At 42.4% G+C, this 22,298-nt stretch overlaps 1 protein-coding gene and 1 long non-coding RNA gene across 21 annotated transcripts in view, besides 4 other annotated features; both read left to right on the forward strand.

Moving 5' to 3' along the window:
- Positions 1-22,298, forward strand: part of PRKCE (protein kinase C epsilon) — a 536,712-nt gene that overhangs the window by 292,426 nt on the left and 221,988 nt on the right. The window lies entirely within an intron of this gene.
- Positions 15,042-15,592: an enhancer, noted in NCBI's record as "OCT4-NANOG hESC enhancer chr2:46185885-46186435 (GRCh37/hg19 assembly coordinates)". NCBI's record gives its function as "activates a minimal SCP1, AML or CMV promoter by ChIP-STARR-seq in primed H9 embryonic stem cells {active_cell/tissue: H9 hESC(primed)}" and the evidence as "EXISTENCE:reporter gene assay evidence [ECO:0000049][PMID:30033119]".
- LOC124907761 (uncharacterized) lies at positions 15,153-22,125 on the forward strand. The gene is made up of 2 exons (XR_007086305.1): positions 15,153-19,747; positions 21,181-22,125. It is a non-coding gene; the product is annotated as an uncharacterized LOC124907761 (long non-coding RNA).
- Positions 16,386-16,680: an enhancer, noted in NCBI's record as "tiled region #2946; HepG2 Activating DNase matched - State 8:EnhW". NCBI's record gives its function as "activates a minimal TATA promoter and a strong SV40 promoter by Sharpr-MPRA in HepG2 cells {active_cell/tissue: HepG2}" and the evidence as "EXISTENCE:reporter gene assay evidence [ECO:0000049][PMID:27701403]".
- Positions 19,730-20,929: an enhancer, noted in NCBI's record as "CDK7 strongly-dependent group 2 enhancer chr2:46190573-46191772 (GRCh37/hg19 assembly coordinates)". NCBI's record gives its function as "activates an origin of replication core promoter dependent on BRD2, BRD4, P300/CBP, MED14 and CDK7 cofactors, with strong dependence on CDK7, by STARR-seq in HCT116 cells {active_cell/tissue: HCT116}" and the evidence as "EXISTENCE:reporter gene assay evidence [ECO:0000049][PMID:35650434]".
- Positions 20,546-20,840: a silencer, noted in NCBI's record as "tiled region #14433; HepG2 Repressive non-DNase unmatched - State 9:DNaseU". NCBI's record gives its function as "represses a minimal TATA promoter and a strong SV40 promoter by Sharpr-MPRA in HepG2 cells {active_cell/tissue: HepG2}" and the evidence as "EXISTENCE:reporter gene assay evidence [ECO:0000049][PMID:27701403]".

Genomic DNA, 22,298 nt, shown 5'->3' on the forward strand with positions numbered 1-22,298 from the left:
TCAGCTAAGTTACACGTCTTAGCAGAAACCAAGCCTCCTCTCCTGCTTTCTGGGTCCCCTTTGTCAGGAGAGTTCCCAGTTTGCAGAATGCACCAGACAGCAGCAGGGGAGGCTGTGTCTGTGTTAAGTAAACAAAGGTGAATTTGGAGTGACCGCGCAGTGAAACTGCCCAGTCTAGATCATCAACGCAGGATTGTTTAAGTTGTTCAAGCTAGAAAAGGCACAGAGTGTTTGGTCCACTCACGTGGTTTTACAGTTTTGGAAACTGAGGCATTGAGCTGTGATGTGATTCGTTCAAAGGCAGATAGATGGTGGGGGCGATGGCTGAGTCAGATGTGGAAAGAATATAGGTATTATGAATCTATTCCAGGACTCAACCATGTTGGCAACCCTGCAGGGCCATTCTATGCATATTCTTGACTAGATTCATTGATCCCAAAGCCTTTTAGGCCCGAATCACTTCGTTGGTGACTCATTTCTTCCCTCCATTCTGCTTTGACTGCTGTCCATTTGCTCCATTCGGACTTTTTGATGCTCCTTTTGTTCCCCATATTGTGGGGTGCCTCAGGGTTCCAGGGCTGTAGGAAAAGCCTCAGCGTCTCTCCAGCAGCAGGCATTCCTTATGCATGAGCTCTACAGGAAATGCTGTTGAGCCAGTATAGTATCTAAGGCACAGCTCAGACTGGAGTGATGGCTATGCTGGTATACAGTTTTCAAAACTTATTGACTCGTAAACTTAAGATCTGTACGTTTTACTTTATGTAAATTCGTCCTCAATTTATTTTTATGTATTTAGTTTTTTGAGACAGGGTCTTGCTCTGTCGCCCAGGCTGGAGTACAGTGATGTGATCTCAGCTCACTGCAACCGCAGCCTCCCAGGCTCGAATGATACTCCCGCCTCAGTCTCCCAAGTAGCCGGGACTACAGGTGCGTGCCACCATACCCGGCTAATTTTTTTTTTTTTTTTTTTTTTTTTTTGTAGAGACAGGATTTTGCCATGTTGCCTAGGCTAGTCTCGAAGTCCTGGGCTCAAGCGATCCATCCACCTTGGCCTCCCAAAGTGCTGGGATTACAGGCATGAGCCACTGTGCTGGGCAATCCTCAATTTAAAAACAAAAACACAAAAACCTCAAGTGACTTCACTTATAAATCTTTGGACATTTAGGTTGGCGGATTCCCTTTGAAACCATTTTGCAAATGGATACAGAGGTGGCCCTAGGTAGAGTGGGGACACCTGTTTTTGTGCCCTCAGCCTTCCCTATCCCTGCCCTTTTCCTTTCCAGTAATGCTTCTTCCACTTCTTGTTCCTCTTTCAACTTCCCCCCTTCCTGAGCCTTCCATTGCCAAAACTTTCTCGCATTAGGCAGGGAAACGATGGCCACACCAATGCATTAAGAGTAAGATGTGTTCTGTGAGGATTTCAGTTTCAGAGGAACACCTGGGGAAGGCTGCTGTGTGAGTCCATTCTTGCCTTGCTATAAAGGAATTATTGAGGCCGGGTAATTTATAAAGAAAAGAGGTTTAATTGGCTCACAGTTCTGCAGGCTGTACAAGCATGGCACCAACATCTGCTTGGCTTCTGGTGAGGGCCTCAGGAAGCTTACGATCATGGCAGACGGTGAAGGGGAAGCCAGCATGTCACATGGCGAGAGCTGAAGCAAGAGCGGGGAGGTGTCATACTCTGTCAAACAACTGGATCTCATGTGAACTCAGAGTAAGAACTCTTGTTATCAGGACAGCCCCAAGCCATTCATGAGGGATCCGCCCTGTGACTCAAACACCTCCCACCAGGTCCCACCTCCAACATTGGGGATTACACTTCAACATCAGATTTGGAGAGGACAAACGTCGAAACTATATCAGCCAGGCTACACCACAACCACAGCCGTCACTGGTTGAGCACATGCTATGTACCAGGCACCATACTAAGTGCTTTCCATGAGCTATCACGTTCAACCCTCACAGTCCCCTGCAAGGCAGGTACTCTTATTACCCCTTCCTCAGAGAAGTTTTAAAGAGATGCTGCATAACTGTGCTCCACTGGTGGGGGGCCAGATTAGAACACAGGCATCTGGCAAAGCCAGGGCTGTCTGTCTTTATACAACCCCTTGACAGAAAAGAATGACTTGTTAATGGTGGAATGTCCTGTACTGATGGGGGAAGACCATTTGAAGGACTTCTCTATCTCCTTAAAAGACACCACATGAATGGCCACTTATCCCTATGTGTGAAGCCATGGTTGAATGGTAGTGATGATAAACCAAAAAATGGGGTGGATTCAGTGCAGTGCTCTGCATGTACAAGTTGTTTTGTGTTCATTAATGACTAGGGCTACTGTTAATAGCTCTGGACAGGATTGGTTATGAATGTGGCACATGCCCTCCCAGGGCGTAGGATGTTGGCCAGATACCAACCAAGGTGGCCAGAGTTTGCAGAACCACTTTGTAAAGGAATGAGGAGGAGCCCTGCATCCCTTAAATCCCTGCCCACAACTGGGTTCTGAGACCACAGGACTCTTGATAAGATTGTGGTGGTTTGTGAGTTATGCCCGGTCATCTATGACTAACAGTGCAGTGAGGCCATTTGGCCTATTTGCTTTTCCATTTTTTTTCTGGCTCTCTTCACTTGAATCTACTTTCCATTTAAAATTTATGATACGGTTTATAAATGACCCAAGTCAGAACCTTGGGATGTGCTGGCTCAGCTCTTCCCAGGGCTTACAGGGGAAGCAGGTACAATGGAAACATCTGTCTATTTGATGGGAGAGAATGCAAAGGCCTAGAAAACAGAACTGTCTAATCCCAAAGACATCAGCCTTCCAGCTCTTGTTCAAACAAGGTCAACGATGGTGAGAATCCCCCTGCCAGCTCATTGCCTCTAATCTTGGTGAAATCCATGCTGGTGCTCTGGGAAATAGCCAGTTATAGGAAGTTTTTGGTGGAGTTCCATGGAGGAGGAGGTGAATTAAAAGCCAGAGGAACCAGGTTGTGATAAAGGTACCAATATGACATGCTGGGTTAATAGCTCCCCTGCCTGCCCCATGGGATTTTGGTGGAAAGAAAGTATCAATAAACATGGGTGTGACCATGTTCTGGAACAGTTCAGGATGCTGCACCAGTGCAAGCCTTAGCTATCACTCCGCCTTAGAGGGGTCAACTCCTATTAACTGTGCATATGTAAAGTCTCCTTGGGTGGGCTTGCCACAGCCAGGAGCTCCAAGAACTGCTGACTGATGTCAGCAAACCCAGTAGACCTAGACTCTATGAGATATTCAGCTTCTCATCTTTCAGCACCCTCTAAAGGAATTCACATCAGAATAGGCTAGACAGAAAACTCTCTCAACCTCTCTCCATCACCTGGTGTGTTTATTGTTATTGCAAAACAGTACCACCTAAAGTGTGGTATATCTGTGCAATCGAATGTTATTCAGAAATAAAAAAGAAATGAAGTCTGAGACATGCTACAATATGGATGAACCTTAATCACTATGCTGAGTGAAAGATGCCAGTTGCAAAAGACCACATATTGTATGATTCTATTTGTGATATGTCCAAAATAGGAACATCCATAGAGATAAAGTAAATTAGTGATTGCCAGGAGCCAGGGGGTGGGGGAGAGAGGCAGGCGTGAATGAGGGATGCCTGGTAAAGGGTGTGGAACTTCTGTTTGCGGGGGATGAAAATGTTCTAAAATTGACTGTAGGGATGATTACATGACAGAATATATACAAAACCAGTGATGGTATACTTTCAACAGGTGAATTGTATAGTATGTGAATTATATCTCAAACTGTTACTTAAGACAAATTATGCAAACTAAAATAACAATATTAAAATAAAATAATACTAAAATAACCTAATAACAATACTAACACAGCTATTTGAACTTTTGCATATCATCATCTGATCTTTGGCAGCTTGGAGACATCTTTTTGTGTGGTTACAGTCACAGTGTGCTGTTTTCAGTTGTCTATAGTCCTTATAATTCTGTCAGTTTGATATTTTGCTTAATTATTTTCCAATTGATAGGCACTTAGGCTTCCAGACTTCTTGTGGTGATGGTTGTTACTACAAACAGCATTTCTGTAGAATTAAAACGTTTCTTTAGGATTTTCTTTGAAGTGGGACTATCGAGTCAAAATTTCTTGCTCTAAAGTGTATATTTCTTTTATAACCTATTGTACTTAATAAAGTTTGGAGTTGTAAAAATGACGAGAAACAGGAGGAAGTTAGAGAACTACGTATATGTGAAGTCCGCAGTGTTGTTTTTGTACAGTAATAAGACTGACCTGCCACCCCATCCTAGACCATGTTCAGGCATTGCTCACCTACGTGAATGTCTTATATCTAAGTGGTAGGCACTGGCTGATAACTGGAGAACAATTTGTGAATTGCATCTGTTTCAAAGTTGTACTGTGCAGAACAATCACTTATTAGTGTTCATGTTACATCTTCAAATTCAATGCACTGGGGTTAAGTCTCCTTGCTATACCCATAACGTGGCACATGCAAAATAAAACAAATGCTCATTGGCACATAGACATACAGAGCCTTTAAAAACATTGGAAATATTTCCAATATAGATGAAAAAGCAAGAATGATTTAGTGACAACCTAATAAACCATAGTTAGCAAATATAAAAATTTTGTATTCGGGCTGCGTGCAGTGGCTCATGCCTGTAATCCTAGTACTTGGGGAGGCCAAGGTGGGATGATCGCTTGAGGGCAGGAGTTCAAGAGCAGCCTGGGCAACACACTGAGACCCTGTCTCTAAAAAATATTTAAAAATTAGCTGGCATGGTGGTGTATGCCTGTAGTCCCAGCTACTCAAGAGGCTGAGGTGGGAGGATTGCTTGAGCCCAGGAGCTCGAGGCTGCAATGAGCTATGCCAGCAGCACTGCACTCTAGCCTGGGTGACAGAGTGAGACCTTGTCTCTTAAAAAAATTTTTTTTTCACTTGCTTTCTTGACGAAATAAAACATCAGAGTCAGTTCAAGTCTCCTTGTTGGGGGATTCCTGCTCTTTCTGTCTGCCCAGAGATAACCCCTGGGCTGAAGTTGGTGTTTAGCTCATTCATATGTGAACACTTAAAAAAATATATACAAGACTGCCAATATATGTTTGTTTTGTGAATTTTACTTTATATAAATGGTATACTGTACACATTGTTTTGTAACTTGCTTTTTAAATGGAACATAATTTTATAGATTTATCTGTGATATAGATCTGGTTCATTCATTTTAATTCTCTATGCTATTCCTCGAATGACAATACAGTATCACAGTTTTTACCCATTCATTTGTTAGCAGACATTTAAGTTGTTTTCAGTTTTTTATGACCACAAACAGTGTTCTAGTGAACATCGTTGCATGTGTCTCCTTGGGTATAAGTGTGCAAATCTCTCTAAGATATATACATGTATACTGAGGAAGGACCTGCTGGGTTGTAGAATATGCACATCCTCAGCTTAGCTGACTATTGTGTGATTGCTTATCAACATGGTTACATTAGCTCACATCCCCACCGGCAGTATGCAAGAGTTGCTTTACATCCTTACTAACCCTTTAATGTCAGATTTTAATTTTTGTCAACTAATAAATACGATGTGGCATCCCACTGTTTTAATTTGTATTGCCCTGATTACCTTTAAAATATTCTTTTAGGACTATTGGCCGATGAATTGTTCATTTATTTTGCTTGTTTTTTTTTTTTTTTTGATTGTTGTTTTTTTTTTTTCCTTGAGGGTAGGAGTTTTTAATATACATTGAACTAAATCTGAGTCTGCTACATGTTGCAAATGTCTTTTCTCGGTATCTTTTTCTTGTCATTATTTATGGTGTCTTCTGTGCAGAAGTCTTACATTTTAATGATCATAGTTGGTGTTTGCTTTTTGCTTTCTGTTTAATAAATCTTCCCCTATCTAAATGACACAAATGCTTTCCTGTTTATTTTTTAAATAAAAGTTTTTATGTTTTGCTTTTTGCACTGGGTCTAACAGTTTTTTCTCCCCCAGTTTGACAACCATGGACCTAGGATCATATTTATCGGTCCATGTTTTCCCTCTTGAACCTCCTGTTTCTCATCTCTGTTCTATCCCTTTGGTCTGTCCCGCTGATACACCATGTTTTAATTGCTTTGACTGTGAAATTTTGATATTTGATAGCGAAGCCTTCATTCTTTGTTGTTTTTTTTTTTAAAGAAAACTCAGTCCAAATATTCTTTATTCTTATCAAATTTTTTGTTGCTTTTTTGGCCATTTTTCTTCTGTGAATTTTAGGATTAGCTTTTCAATTTCTGTGAGAAACCTAGTAGGATTTAAGTTGAAAATGCATTAATTTTTGAATTACTGATGAGAATGGTTATTACATCTATTCAAGTTTTTAATTTCTTTTTAAGTATTATGAAGCAGAACACTTGCCTAAAATGAATGCTTAGAAAATATGTCTCTAATTGGCATCCTGGGAACATAACAAAATAGTTTTCTGCAAAAATGAAATTTTGACCAAAGGCTGAAGCCGTCTTCAGTGAAGTTGTTTTTACCTTTACTGAAAATCAATATATTTACCAAAAATGAATGCTTAGTTTTAACACTAGGAGTAAAAACAGATCACTGCTTTATACACCAGACCATTTATTACCCCATCATGGGACATCAGCCAATCTCTGGTCTTTAGGAGAATGCATTTTATTCCCACTTCTTCTTATGAAAAGCTTTAAATGAAATTTTCTGGCAGAATTTCAGTTACACTGAGTTAATTTATTTCTGCTTCTCACATTCTAATTTTGAGGATGGCAGATAAAGATGTCACAGCACATTTGCATGAGGAACTCTGGCTGGATGAGGAGAAAATAACTTCAAGGTCATTACCAGGGTTTATGCTCGACTGTGCCCCAGTTTCCCCTGGGATTACAAGATGCCTGGTTTGATGATGCCCAGGCCAAGTGTCTAATAAGCCATGGAGTGAAAAAGGTTACTTCAAGCACGCAGAGGGCAAAGCGAGAGATGGATATCAAGGGGCGGGGTGCAGATCCACCCTTGTGTCTGCCAAGTGTCTGTTGTTCACACTTCCGTTGGCTCAAGGTGAGAAGTGCTTGGGGACAGCAACAGCAGCTGGTGGACAAGAGGGAGTACTGGTGTTCCTAGAGGACCAACTTTCCTAGAGGACCTCTCAGAACTGGCTCCTCTAATTAAGTCCTGGAACTATCAGCCTCATTTCTTTGACTTATCTCTGCCCACTTGGTGGCTCCCGATCTGAGATCATGTTCACTTGGCCACCAAGACAAAAGCTCCAAATAGTGTCCTTGTACATCCCCAGTCATGACTGTGAATTGCACTACAATCCTGCCCACAGCTTAATGCTCGGTGCCCAAACCATCACTGTAAAGCCAGTGTTCAAACACTATCGTGTTATCCGGTGCTGCTCTGGCTGCAAAAGATTTCCTGGGGAGTTGATTAAAGTTACAGATTTTCAAGCCTCACCCAGTGGAATTGGGGAGTGGCTCTGGAGTTTATGGCTTCACTAGCTTCCCAGGTGATTCTGGTAAGTAGCCCAGATTGGGAACCACTGCTTTAGACAACTTTAACCTAAGGCTCTAAGGAGGAACCCAGTCCTCTGGGAAACAGCTTCATACAGACTGTCGAGGAAGTCGTGTTTCCAGTCAGTCATGCCAGGTAGGTCCCTCTGTCTTGCAAGTCTTTGGGCTTTCATAATTCCTCCCTAACTCTGACTTCCTCACTGAGACTAGGCAGTATGTATGTGTCCATGGCCCCCACTCCTGAGTCAAGGCTTCTCTGGGCCCAGAAAGACAGCCCTTTTGGCTTGGGGCCACACTTAGATGTTAACCACAAGATACGTGCTCTGCTTCCTCTAGGTTTAAAGGTGCCGCTCTCCCTAGGACCAATGCAGCATCTCACAAAATGAGGGCCCCAGCTGAGCCAATGCAACTCTGTGCTGGAGGCAAATGTAGCAAAGGCTGAGCACTTTTGTACACAACCACATACAATGAGTCTGGTTCTTCCACACCTCATCCTCTGAGTTTGTGCCAAGCTGGATCAAAGCACGAGTGAGTGGTTTAAGACTGTAAAATGTGACAAACTCAGTTGATCCAGACTCTCAGACTCTTTTGTTTTGTTTTGTTTTGTTTTTTGAGACGGAGTCTTGCTCTGTCGCCCAGGCTGGAGCACAGGGGCGCCATCTTGGCTCACTGCAAACTCTGCCTCCTGGGTTCAAGCTATTCTCATGCCTCAGCCTCCTGAGTAGCTGGGATTACAGGCATGTGCCACCACATCCAGCTAACTTTTGCATTTTTAATAGAGACGGAGTTTCATCATGTTGGCCAGGCTGGTCTTCAACTCCTGGCGTCAAGTGATCTACCCGCCTCGGCCTCCCAAAGTGCTGGGATCACAGGCATGAGCCACTGTGCCCAGTTGATTCAGACTCTTAAAAGAGCCTGACTCCTAGAATGTTAGACCTATCACCTAGTCTGATTTTTCCATCACATAGATAAACAACTGAAGCCCAGAGAAGGAAAGGGACTCACCCAACTAGGTGGTGGTCGGCAAAAGAGCCCAGGCCCCAAAGTTATAATGATATACACATTTCATTACACCATGCTGCCCCTGGGCCTCGCAAGCGTACATAAGTCATCACTATGCTGGGCTGTTCTTGTTCTCTCTCTCTCATGGGCTTAACACACAGAAGCACCCTGAATTTTAAACCAATAAAACACCCCTCCTTTTGCTGGAAGTATACATTCTAAAGGAACATGGACTACACGCAGAATTTATTATAAAATACTTCAGGCTCCCTTGTTAACTAATGGTTCAAATTAAAGGAACATAAAGCAACCCCTATTTTACGTTGAAATTGCTATGTTAAAAGTTTAGATTTACCAAACAGTTGAATTAAGATGTAATTATTAGCATTTCCAAAAAATGTAGTCGCTCTTCAAAAGCACTCACCACAGGATTCCCTTATATAGCACTTAATGTACTTAATGTACTGTACATTTAAAATTGGTTTTGATTGATGGGAGGGCCATTGACATGCAGCTTTCCAGGAACACAACTTTTTATAGAAAAAGTAGGAACACTGAATGTGCTTTGTTTAGGCTATTATGTGCCATGTCACATTAAAAGTCTATTAGACAACCAGTGTCTCTTTTCAACGAGCTTATAAATTAACAGCACGAAACACAGCAGCCAAATAAAACTATAGATCACAGTATGAGGATTTGTCTTAAGCGGTAGGCTGAGTTCACCCTGACATCTCATTTTATGGACAGGGAGGTCAAGCCCGTTGCCTTTCTTGACATTACTGAGTAGTGTTTGAGATAATGAAATGCTTAAATAATAGTAATTCTGAAATAACTCTAGATCTGTTTTCAAGTTTTAGCATTTGCCCCGGATTACCTGGGAGGTGAACACAGTTCTGAACCCCCTTCCCCATGGCCAGGTGGTCCAGGCAAATGCATCTGTAATGCCCCAGTACTTTTGATGGAACATACCTAGAGGATCTCAGAACCAGAAGGAACTTGAAAAACATGAACCATCCCATGTAATTTTGTCTTGGGGAAGATGAGGCCAAGGCAAGAGAAATGACCTACCCACGGGTCACATATTTGGTTGTGACATATGTCAGAGCCAAGACGATTCTCCATTACTGGACTCCCTGCCCAGGGCACTTTTCATACGCTTTTCAATTTGGATAGAACATCCTCCTTGCTCTCTCTCTTCCTCCCTTCCCTCTCCCTGAACAGCCAGCTACCGCTCCCTTTCCCCTCCTCTGGAACACCTCTCCTGGAATACCCAACCGTGGGCTGTGCCCTAAACTAAAAAATGACATTGAACCCAAAACACTCATTCAGTGTCACTGCTGAGTCAGAAAGTCACCGGCTTGATCAGTGCGGTTGTCCCTCGATGCCTCTCCTACTTTTTAATTGCGCCCCCATCCACTCTTGCTGTCACTGCTTTAAACACTGGCTGCACATTAGAATCCCCTTGTGAGCTTTAAGAAAAGTACCAGTGCCTGGGCTCCCCCCGAAGAGATTGTGATTCAGTTGTCTGTGGTGGGCCACAGGCGCTGGCTTTCTCAGCACTCTCCAGGTGAGTTTAACCTGCAGGCAGAGTTGAGAGCCCGTGTTGTGCAATATTAGTCCTAATTATTTTCGTGTACCTCCTGGACCTAAATTACCAGTTGATGTAGGCAAAGCACAGAGGAAGTCAAATTTTCACAGAAGTGAATGGATTCACAAAAGCTGTCTATTTTCCTAAGACAACATAAGCTGCCCTTCCCTACTGCAATCTTATCTAGTGCCAGTGCCTTTGCCTATTACAAAATTTAAAAAGACTTTCAAATGTCATTTTCTATAAATCTACTGGCCAGTTCTTGGAATAAAACAAATCTCCTTGGTCCTGCTCCCACTTTGAAGGTGGCCTTAGGTGCGCAGGGACTTTGTGTGGCCCTAGTGAATCTTGGCAAGGAAAACAGTTCTCAAAATTGTTCACAAACGTGTGCCTGTGTATTACTGAAATAAGTCTGTATACCCAAGCCAAATGACAGCTAATGGCTTCCTTATCACTAAATATTGGAGTCAAAAGAATTTAGAGGCCAGGTAGAAAATTTCTGAAGAGCAGACAATTTTCTTGTGATCAAATTGTAAGTTCCTTATCAATATTGCATCATCCATTAACCCTTTATTGTAAAATAAGCAAAGAACATGTAAGGAAATGTGATATGAGACTCTGAATAGGATGACATCAGCCCAGCATGAGGGTCTTGCATCACTGTTCTGCAGGATTAAAAGACTAATTAAATTGGCCTATCTAATTTAAACATAAGCATGCATGAAAATAGGAAACATTCATAGAGGGTACATATTAACTCAAGATGCTTGGCCAGACTTCTACAAGAGAAAAGTAATGTATAGAATTTGTTTGATTAGTGTTTAAACAAAGGGGGAGAACCTCATTTCAATGTGCTATCATGAAAGGAATCTTATACAAGGAAACAATTACTGTCAAGAAATGCAAGTACTTATTGCATGCTCTTGTAGGCCCTTTAGGGATTGTTAAACTGTTTAGAACCGAGGATAGCTTTTATTTTGTGAAAAGACATTTTAATCATGTATGCAAGAAAAAACACAGTGATTGTGAGCTGTTAAGTGGATGAATTACAGTGTGTTTGGTACCCCATTGCTTCTCCTACCTACTATTGTCAATACTTTAGTATTTCATTTAATTAATAATGATTAGAACTAGGCAATGGGGGTATGGGGTGAGGTTGGGAAGAAGCATGCAAAATAAATCTTAAGGGCTACTTTTCCTAAAGTAACTAGCAATCTAGCTGAGGAAACAATATGAACACTCCATCACGCACTCCATCAAGTACTCCATCAAGTATATAATTAAATGTTTAATGGATGAATATCCAATTCAATAGTAAAGACTCCAAGTACTATGGTAGTTCAAAGAAGAAAAAGATCCCTGTGGACTGCCCTGATATCGAAAGGTTTCATGGAGGAATTAGATCTCAAAGGATAGGAAGGATTTAGATGACGAGAGGGCAGAAAGTCCTGGGAAGGAGAACTGGTATAATGAGAAGTTTGGAGGGAGGAATGAGCTTGGCCTCTGAGAGGGTTTGCCAGGAGACTGACCTGGTTGGTGTGATAAAAACATGGGAGGAAGAATGAAAGGCCCGTAGCATAAAAGTAGAACCAGACAGTGCAGGGGACCTTGTTAATACCTGATGCCCCAGCTTTCTCTGAACTCTTATGTTTATAGTCTCTTCTGCTCAGCTGAATTCCTAGTTATAGGCTATTTACATGCTCCAGGCATGCTGGGCTGGTGGTACTAACCTGTAGTCCCAGCTACTTCAGAGTTTGAGGCAGAAGGATCGCTTGAGCCCTGGAGTTTGAGGCCAGCCTGGGCAACATAGTGAGATGCTCATCTCAAAAACAAACCCCCACATGGATAAATAAATGCTTTAGGCAGATGTTCATTCTAAATTGCGCTCAGGGTTATTTTTTGTATCTTTAGTAGCTCCTGACACAGGGTTGCAGGTATAGTAGGTGTGCCCTAGTTTTTCCCTCTATTTAAAAAAAAAACAAAGTGTCATTTACATACAGTAAACTTCACCTTTTAGCATATAGTTATTTGAGTTTTGACAATTACATACAGTCGTATAACCATTATCGCAATAAAAATATAGAATAGTTCCATCACCTCCCAAATTCTCCCGTTATCTTTCCCCTTTCATAGTCAAGCCCTTTGCTCACCCTCAGCCCCGGGTAACCGCTGCGGTCTTTTCAGTGCCTATAACTGCTTTTTCCAGAATGTTGTTTAAATGGAATCGTACAGTATATGTGTAGCCTTTTGAGTTTGGCTTTTTTCATTTAGCATGGTGCATTTGAGATTTATTTATGTCATTGCTTGTGTCTGTAATTCATTCATTTTTGTTGCAGAATAGAACTCCGCACTTTATAGCTACACACCAATTTGTTTGGTTGTCCTTTTCTCAATTGAGAGATGTTTGGATTGCGTCTAGTTTTTGGTGCTTATAAATAAAGCTGCTATAGATATTTTCATACAGGTTTTTATGTAAACATAACTTTTTATTTCATTTGAATAAATATCTGGAAGTAAGATTGCTTGATTATGTATGGTAAGTGTGTGTTTTATTTTATAAGAACCTGCAGGCTGGATGCAGTGGGTCACGCCTATAATCCCAGCAGTTTGGGAGGTCAAGGTGGGTGGATCACCTGAGGTCAGGAGTTCAAGACCAGCCTGACCAATAATGGTGAAACCCTGTCTCTACTAAGAAAAAAAAAAAAAATTAGCCAGGTGTGGTGGCATGCACCTGTAGTCCCAGCTACTCAGGAAGCTAAGACAGGAGAATTGCTTGAACCCGGGAGGCGGAGGTTGCAGTGAGCCAAGGTCGCACCACTACACTCCAGCCTGGGCAACAGAGCGAGACTCGGTCTCACACAAAGAAAAAAAAGAACCTGCAAACTCTTTTCCAAAGTGACAGGACCATTTTGTATTCTGACCAGCAATGCATGAAAGACACAATGCTGAAATTGCATGTTCACCAGCACTTCATATTTTCAGGTTTTATTTTATTATTTTTTAACATTAGCATTCTAATAGATATATAGTGGTATTTCACTGTCGTTTTAATTTGCCTTTTTCTAAAACTAATGTTGAGCATCTTTTCATGTGTTTAATTAGCATATATCTTTTTTGATAAGGTGTTGTTCACATTTTTAGCTCATTTTTTATTTGACTGTTTGCTTAATAATTATTGAGTTCTGAGAGTTCTTTACATATTCTACATGTGTTTTACCAGATGTGTGATTTGCAAATATTTTTTCCCATTTTGATACTTGTCTTTTCATTCTCTTAACATCTTGCAAACAGCAGAGGTTATTAATTTTGACAAAGTCAAATTTGTCAATCTTTTATGAATTATGCTTTTAATGTCATAGCTAATCTTCACCCAAACCCAACGTCACAAAGATTTTTTGTGTTTTCCTCCACTGTTTTATAGTTTAGGTTTTACGTTTTTGTCCATGATCTATGTTGAGTTCATTTTTGTAGAAGATATGGGTCTATGCTTATTTTTTATGCATGGACATTCAATTGTCCAAGCACCACTTGTTGAAAGACTGCCATTTCTCCATTCACTTGCCTTTGCACCTTTTTTGAAAATCAATTGTATGCACATATGTGGATTAATTTCTGGACTCTATTCTGTTGATCTATTTGCCTATGTGTTTGTTTTTTGTTGTAATGATAGGAATGATGGTCTTTCCAGCTTTCTACATCTTAATCAGTGTTCTAATTACTTGTGAATAAGTAAGTTGATCACTCTTAGGCAATTCAGATAGGATAGATAATGAGGTCTAGATAGTTCTTAAATGTGGCAGCCAGGCATGGTGGCTCATGCCTGGAATTTGGAAGCACTTTCGGAGGCCAAGGTGGAAAGATTGCTTGAGGCCAGGAGTTTGAGACCAGCCTGGGCAATATAGCAAGACCCCACCTCTGTAAATAAAGACCCAGACAGGCAGGGCATGGTGGCACACTCCTGTAGCCCCGCATACTTGGGAGGTTGAGGTGGAATGATAGTCTGAGTCCAGAGGTTCAAGGCTGCAGTGAGCTGTGATTATGCCACTGCACTAGATCCAGCCTAGGCAACAGAGCGAGACTGTGTCTCTATTTTTTTTTTTTTTTTTAATGTAGTCCTGGTCACATCATCCCTAAACTTGTTAGAAGTGGTTCTCAACCCCTTCCCAGAGCTGGCCTGCTGAATGAGCAGTTCTAGAAGTGAAGTCCAGCAGTGTATGTTTGAGCATGCCTTCTGGCTAATTCTGATGCATGCTGAAGTTTCAGATTCACTGTTATTTTAAGCAGAGAGAACCTCAGAATTTAGTTCATTTAGAAGAAAATGGTGATGGAGTTATATTAATAAACCTAATCTATTAGGCCCGCAAAAAAAAAAAAAAAAAAAAAAAGAAAAAGAAAATTGGGCCAGGCATGGTGGCTCACGCCTGTAATCCCAGCACTTTGGGAGGCCAAGGTGGGCAGATCACGAGGTCAGGGGTTCGAGACCAGCCTGGCTAACATGGTGAAACTCTGTCTCTACTAAAAATACAAAAAATTAGCCAGGCGTGGTGGCGGGCGCCTGTAGTCCCAGCTATTTGGGAGGTTGAGGCAGGAGAATGGCATGAAACCGGGAGGCAGAGCTTGCAGTGAGCTGAGATCGCACCACTGCACTCCAGCCTGGCTGACAGAGGGAGACTCTGTCTCAAAAAAAAAAAAAAAAGAAAGAAAATCAAAACTCATAGAAACAACTCCCTTTCACACTACAATCCACCTGCCAGGGAGCACCCCCTTGAGATGTCCTGGCCTCTCACACACCCCCTATGCTCCCTGCCATATATATTGTGGTGAGAGAGGGAGTTGTCTCTATGAGTTTTAATTTTCTATGAGTTTTAGCTTCTTCTGTGTGTTAATTCAGGTTTGTCAAGGGATTGTGGTTATTGTCTGAAAGACAGAAACACCATTTTTCCCTTCCTCTGGCCTTTAAAACATATATATATATATATATATATATATTTTTTTTTTTTTTTTTTTTTTTTTTTTTTTTTTTTTTTAATAGAATCCTTTAGCCATCACATTCCAACAGGAAATGTGTTTTGCCCCTAAGGAGCAGGAGGCAATTTCTGATCTCTAGAAAGGTCTTCAGGCTAGCTATTAACATCAGAAAGAGCCACGTCAGGGGTCTAACAGGTGCACATTTCAGGCTGACAGGTTAAGAGTCAACCTGAAGTTCTGGTTAATGACTAATTAAGTTGCGGGTAGTTCTTAGCTAGAAATCAACTGGAGTTCTCATGAGCTGAAAATAGGGAGAATAATATCTTTTTAGCTTTTAAAATGCACCGTGCTTCCTCAGGGCAAGAGGAAGGTGGTTGTCGTGGTCTTGCCTGTTTGACAGTAGATGCAGGAAGACCTCTACTTCCAAGGAATTATTTGTGCCAGACTGCTAGCCAGAGAGGCCAGGGCATCTCTAGAATGAAGGAGTAACGCCTTTTTGAACACTGCAATGTTTTTCTCAGGCAGGTGGTTTGGAAGAACAAAATATATAATGTCATGTCTTCATTTTAGTTCTCCTGCCTTAAACACATACATGCACACAGATGCATGAGAGTTGAACCTTTTACTTCAGATTTTCCATAATAAGTTTGATCTGGGCCTTTGCTGACTGCTGTGTTTGGAGAAAGAAGATCATGTTTATTTAAAAAACAGAAGCATTAATTTCAATCTTTGTGGCCTCAGTATTGAGGAGGGGACTGACCTGGAGAGAGAATAGACTTTTTCTTCATGGCTAGGTGTTCCTGCTGGGCACAGGATGGCTCAGATCAGATTTAGGGAACACTTTGATCTGAAACTTTCTTCCTTGCTTTTCTCAAGCAGATACAAACTTTTTGTTCCCAGAGGTTAATGCCTGTGTGATGATTATATTTGCTCCGGAATCATCTAACTTACCCTCTTACCTTTCAAAATTCTGCATGAAACAGCCAGGGTCCACACAAATGAGCTAAAGTGGGGCCTCTGGTCTTCTCTCTGTCACCTCCTTATGTTCCCTGGCATGTGTGTTGTGGTGTGAGAGGGAGTTGTCTCTATGAGTTTTAATTTTCCGGGTTTTATTTGTTTGTTTGTTTGTTTACTAGCAGTCTGGTTTCAAAAAAACTTTCAGAACTTCTTGTCAGACCCCATATACATTTAAAAGAAATTGGCCTCTCCTCTTCCTATCTGCTAATCATTTTTCACATCGTTTTTTCATTTACAGCATTTGGGAAGGAAAGTTCACTTAAAAAATCTTTAGACCACCTGTTAGAGAAATACAAACAGAATGCTTGTTTTCTGGGATAAAGGGGGGAAAACCTCCATTTCATATTTTTTAATGTGTGTGGTATGGTGGAAAAGACATGAACTTTGGAACCGGTCTGGCCTTGGGACCAAATCGAACTCCACCACTTAATAACTATGTACACCTAGATGAGTCACTTGGATTTTCTTAGTGCCGGTTTCCTCATTGTGTGGTGGAGGTAGTGATACTAATCGTGTAGAATCCTTTCGAGAAATAGAGAAAATATGTTTTAATCACCTGCTATACCATAAATCAGTGTTCCCCAACCTTTTGGTACCAGGGACTGGTTTCATGGAAGACAGTTTTTCCACTGATGGGCAGGGAGTGGTGTGGGGGGCAGAAGGGGAAGGGCATTAGATTCTCATAAGAAGCCCCCAACCTAGATCCCTCACGTGTGCAGTTTACAATAGGGTTCCCGCTCCTATGAGAATCTAATGCTGCTGCTGGTCTGACAGGAGGTGGAGCTCAGGCAATAATGCTTGCCCACCCACCAATCACCTCCTGCTGTGCAGCCAGGTTCCTAACAGGCCACAGACCAGTACTGTGGTCCCCTGGGGATTGGGGGCCCCTGCTGTAAATGGTGCCTATTATTTCTAACATCCCGTTTTCAGTGGATTTTATCTTTTGCTTTAGAGATGCCAAGCACCCATCAGCCTTTGACTGAAAAATTCCCCAAATTTAGCTCCTGCCTCACTCTCCTTGCAGTTCCTACAATCCTTTCTGCCCCCCAGTTTTCCTACCTGCCCAGCACAACCTCTCCAAAAAGGATCTGAGATTCACCTATGTTGAACTTATAATGGCCCTCGCAGAGGCTTTCTGTTTCAACAGGGTTGAAAGCCTGGCACTAAGGAGTAAAGCAAACACAGAGGGGCTGGAAGCAAGAGGGATCACTTTATTTTTTAGAATACCAGGACTTTAGCGTCTCTGAATTCCCAGCTCTCAGGAGCTAAGTCAGCCTTACTCACTTATACACAGGCCCTGGTTTCCATGTGATAGTGATTCTAATATAAGCTGACCTATCATAGCATTGATCCTTCCTCTGCTTCTCTCCATAGGCAGGAGTGTGTAACACCAAGTACAGTAGTCACAATACCTACCTCCTTTCCCCCCCCGATTTGGTTGAGCAGTGAACAAGTCTCAGAGTTAAAAACATTTTTCCTTGCAATGTTTACCCTGACTTTCTCCTGCTTTACCTATTACCTCTTGAATGAAGTATCTACTGCTATATAACAAGTTATCTCAAATTCAGCAGCTGAAGATAGTAATCAAGATTTATTGTGTCATTCATTTTCCGTGAGTCGGTTTCTGTAACCCCATAGCCTTTAGGGCTGCAATGCCTATGGCACTAAAAGTCTTGTTATTTGTTTGAGGGGGGAATGTCCCATTTCACTTGGCACATTTCACACCCTTTCCATGTTCACCAAGTAGCACCTGGGGACAGGCAGAGACCCCATTTAGACTTTCAGTTCAGGAGCAGCTTTAGCTGAGGAGCCAGGCTTGTTAGCATTTCAGAGGTGTAGCAGCCTGCCTTGGCCAGGGCAGTGCTACTCCATTGCCAGGATTCTTTTTTTTTTTTCTTTGAGACGGAGTTTCACTTTTGTTGTCCGGGCTGGAGTGCAATGGTGTGATCTTGGCTCACTGCAACCTCTGCCTCCCGGGTTCAAGCGATTCTCCTGCCTGAGCTTCCTGAGTAGCTGGGATTACAGGCATGTGCCGCGAAGCCCAGCTAATTTTGTATTTTTAGTAGAGACGGGGTTTCTCCATGTTGGTCAGGCTGGTCTCGAAATCCCGACCTCAGGTGATCCACCTGCCTCGGCCTGGCAAAGTGCTGGGATTACAGGCGTGAACCACCGCGCCCGGCTGCCAGGGATTCTTAAGACTGTGGTAGACCTCAACCCCAGCCTCGCCTTTGCTACCTGTTCCCAGGTACTGCTTAAACCAAAACCTACTGAAAAGGCAAGTGGGTGACTAGCGTATGCAGGGCTTAGATTTTTGGATTAGGAAAGTGACACTTTCTTTAAGTAAAGACACAACTCTTGGGCTTTCCTGAGGTCAGCAAGGTGTAGGATGGAAGGTGAATTTTAGGAAAGAAGTTGGGTAATGTAGAACCATTCCTACTTTCCCCCCAGGGCCCTAAAGAATGTATACCTATAAGAAATCTGGCTGAGATTTAAGGCAGGGCCTGTGGCCAGTAATATTTACCTTCTAGACAAAGATAACTCACTCATTTGAGGAATTTGGTCGCTACTTTTACTTCATTAGCACCAAGGACTGAGCTAACTGGATCTCCCTTAAGCATCTGTGGCCTCAGAATTTTTTCTCAGGTTCATTAAACTGAAAACGCCCACCACCCCCCTTCCTTTTTTGTTCCCCTCTTGGCAGTTTTCATTTTCTCCAAATGGAAGTTTATAGATATGCAGCTCAGCATTTAGCTGATGTTTCTCTTGGTTGCAGAGCTATTAGAAATAGACTTTTTTCCTCACACAGTGACTATTCTTTTCCCAACATTCTCATATCACTATAGAAGACAGCTCCGGGGGAGAGAGGAGTTGCCAAGCCTTAAGGCCCGAATAACTGGGAATCTGGCAAATTTCCTGGACTATGATGTCCCCTGGCCTGGGAGAAGTGCCAGCAGCGGGGGTGTCAGGGAGAGGCACTGTGCTGTGTGCATGTGCGTGTCAGAGCTCCTGAGCCCTGAAGGAGCATGAGTTCGATTCTGGGATGCTTTCAGTTATTAAAAGCATTATTGCTTTTGACCTTCTCATCCCTCTCTCCATGTGCAGAGTTTTGGTCAGTCTCAGTGGAACATAAAAACTGGTAAGAAAAAGTTTAATTGAAGCAGGTTTTTGAAGCCAAAGGAAAAGATATAAGTTCCACAAGAGCTGTGGCCATTATAGCTGTTTCTGTGGAAAGACTTGGGGCTTGTTCACCTATATGAAGCTTCCTAAGGGACGTCTATCTCCCAGTGCCCTGCCGTGGGGACTAGATGGGCCTGGGTCGATAGAAGGGAGGATGGAAGGAAGGCAAGCTCGTTTCCTGATCAGTAGGAACCAAAAAACCAGGGAGAGTAGATTGTGTTATGTAAAATGAGTCCCTCTGCTTTCTGGGAACATGTGGGGTTCATTTAGGTAATTACCAGCTCAGACTGGGTGGCATAATAATCATCTTTACTTGTTTTTATTTATTTATTTTTTTAGACCGAGTCTTGCTCTATTGCCCAACATGGAGTGTGGTGGCGTGATCTCGGCTCACTGCAACCTCTGCCTCCCTGGTTCAAGCAACTCTCCTGCCTCAGCCTCCCGAGTAGCTGGGATTACAGGTGTGCGCCACCACGCCCGGCTAATTTTTGTGTTTTTACTAGAGACAGGGTTTCGCCATGTTGGCCAGGCTGGTCTAGAACTCCTGACCTCAGGTGATCCGCCCACCTTGGCCTTCCGAAGTACTGAGATTACAGGCATGAGCTACCGCGCCCGGCCATCTTTACCTCTTTTATCCTCTGTCTTTCTCCATTTCCTTTGCCTTACCATTCTTTCATTGCCTTTTATCTCCATTTTATCTTCAGATTCCCTGAAATTCTTCCTTCCCAGGTCATCTAATCAGAATACCCACCTGGTCAGCATTCTGGGCGCCCTGCCGGGACTCCAGATCTCTTGGGAAAGACCATTATTTTTCTTTTTAATTCTGACTTTAAAATTAGCAAGTGCTCAAAACTGCCTTAGTAAAGAAGGAGTTTGAGGAACTAAAAAGTTGGCTCACTGCGGTAGTCTGGGAAATTGTGCAGGCACGTACCTTTGAGAAGCTCTGTGGAGCCCAAGGTGAGGTAGCTGGGAGCCTTGTGACGTCGAAGGGTGTGATCTTGAGTTCACTTTGCTTTAGTCTCATGAATGTGGCCTGCCACTGACTGGGTGATGTGGAATGGCTGCTACGAACAGCACTGGAAGGGTGTGGGTTTTTCAATAAATAACCCCATAGCCTTTAGGGTTGCAGTGCCTATGGCATTAAAAGGCTTGTTATTTGTTCGAGGGAGGAATGTCCCACTCTACTCGGCACATTCACACCCTTTCCATGTTCACCAACCAGCACCTGGGGACAGGCAGAGACCCTACTAAGACTTTTAATCCTGCTGTCCACAGGCCCGTTTTAATACAGCATTTTAGAAGCATGAGCAGTGGCCAGAACCTGGCCTCATGGAACGTGAGCTCCATTGTGCTCAGGTGCCCGAGAATGCAGCAATTGCTCAGTTTCCTGTGATTCATCTCAGATCATCACTGGCACCAACAGGGATTCTGGTCCCACCCTTGGCTGGTGCCCCACTTGGCAGATTTCCCAGGCTGGGAGCACTCTTTGAGCTTTCAGCAGGTCTGCCTGGAGGCTTTTTGCTCTGTGGTTTCCTCCTGGAAGTAGTAATTTTTACTGGGTACCAGAAGCATGCAGTAAAGTTCCACCATGACTGTAATATGTAACTGTGAATGGATGGAGGAGGGAATGAACGAATGGGCGAATGAATGAATGAATGAATATAGACTAGAGGCTAGCAGGCTTCCTGCTTAAGTGAAATCACTGCTCCTCGGTGCTTCTTTGTGTTCAACACAGTGTGCTTGGCATCAGAAACCATGGGGCAGTGAGATTGGGGTTTGGCATCTTCTTTTCTCACATTATCTGTCAATCACCATGTTTTGACTCAGTTTACTCTAATGCTGCTGTGCCTACCGTATCAAAGTCTGAGATTTTCACTTTTTTTTTCCTATGTAGTGAACACTAGCTGCAGTTTTGTTTTCATACCTGGACAGAGCATAAATCCTGCCATGAACACAGCAAAGATCATTCAGAAAGTGAAGAGGAAGGAGAAACAACGGTTCATGTTAAACTTGAGATGCTAATCTTGAAATGCCACCCGTTCTCTTCTGATTAGATTACATGCAGAATAAAACATGCAGGCAATCTCAAACCTCTCCTCTCAGACGTTTCTGATTCTTATTGTGTGCCTCTCTGGGAAGATACAGATAGCATCGAATAATCTCTCTGAGGGAATTAGTTGCTGTTTCCTCTTTCCTGTTTTGAACAAATTTTCTTTAATGCATTGTGTGAGTACACATGTAGAACATATTCTTTGACATCACATAAATATTTACACAATATTTAAAACTCACTGTCATGAAGTATTTATTTCACTTGCAAACATTATCATCTATTGTTCTATGGAAAATTACAAAATAAAAGGCACGGCTGCTTTGATTTTTAGTACCTGGTTTTGTTTGTTTTGTTTTCTTTCCATTGACCTTGCATATTTACCAGTGAATTTATAAAGTCAAAACAGAGCATTATTGAAAGGGAAAATTAAGTAGACTCCCCAGAGATTGAGAGGTAAAGTTTGCACCCTAGCTTCTGTGAGGAGCACCTCCCAGTCATAATCACTGTACTCTGGACTATCATGGCAATTTCTTGCTTTGTTAGCAGAGACCTGTCTATTAAGGACCAAATCCAGAATATCTGAGAACAAAATTGAGGGAGTAGCCATGGGTTATCCCTTTGTGCCTAGAACATTGCCTGGAATCCAGTGTCCACATGATAAACATTTTTAGGATGAATAGCTTATTATATACCCTTGCAGAAATTTTCCATCCACAGTCTTGCTTATATGCGTTTGAGTGTATTCTTTTTTTCTCATTTTATACAAATAAATACACACTATCGACATGTTTCTTAGTTTTCTTTTTCTGCTTAGTTTCTTGGTGGGCTTAGCATAGCTGCTTTGTTAAACCGCTGCATTACGTTCCATTATGTGGGTGTGCCATGACTTAATCAGTCCCCCTCAGCTTTCTTTTCTAAGTATCTAGGTGAGAGCAAGGGCAGATGTGTGGGGAGGTGGG

Source organism: Homo sapiens, chromosome 2 (genome assembly GCF_000001405.40).
Source record: "Homo sapiens chromosome 2, GRCh38.p14 Primary Assembly".
Taxonomy (NCBI): Eukaryota; Metazoa; Chordata; class Mammalia; order Primates; family Hominidae; genus Homo; species Homo sapiens.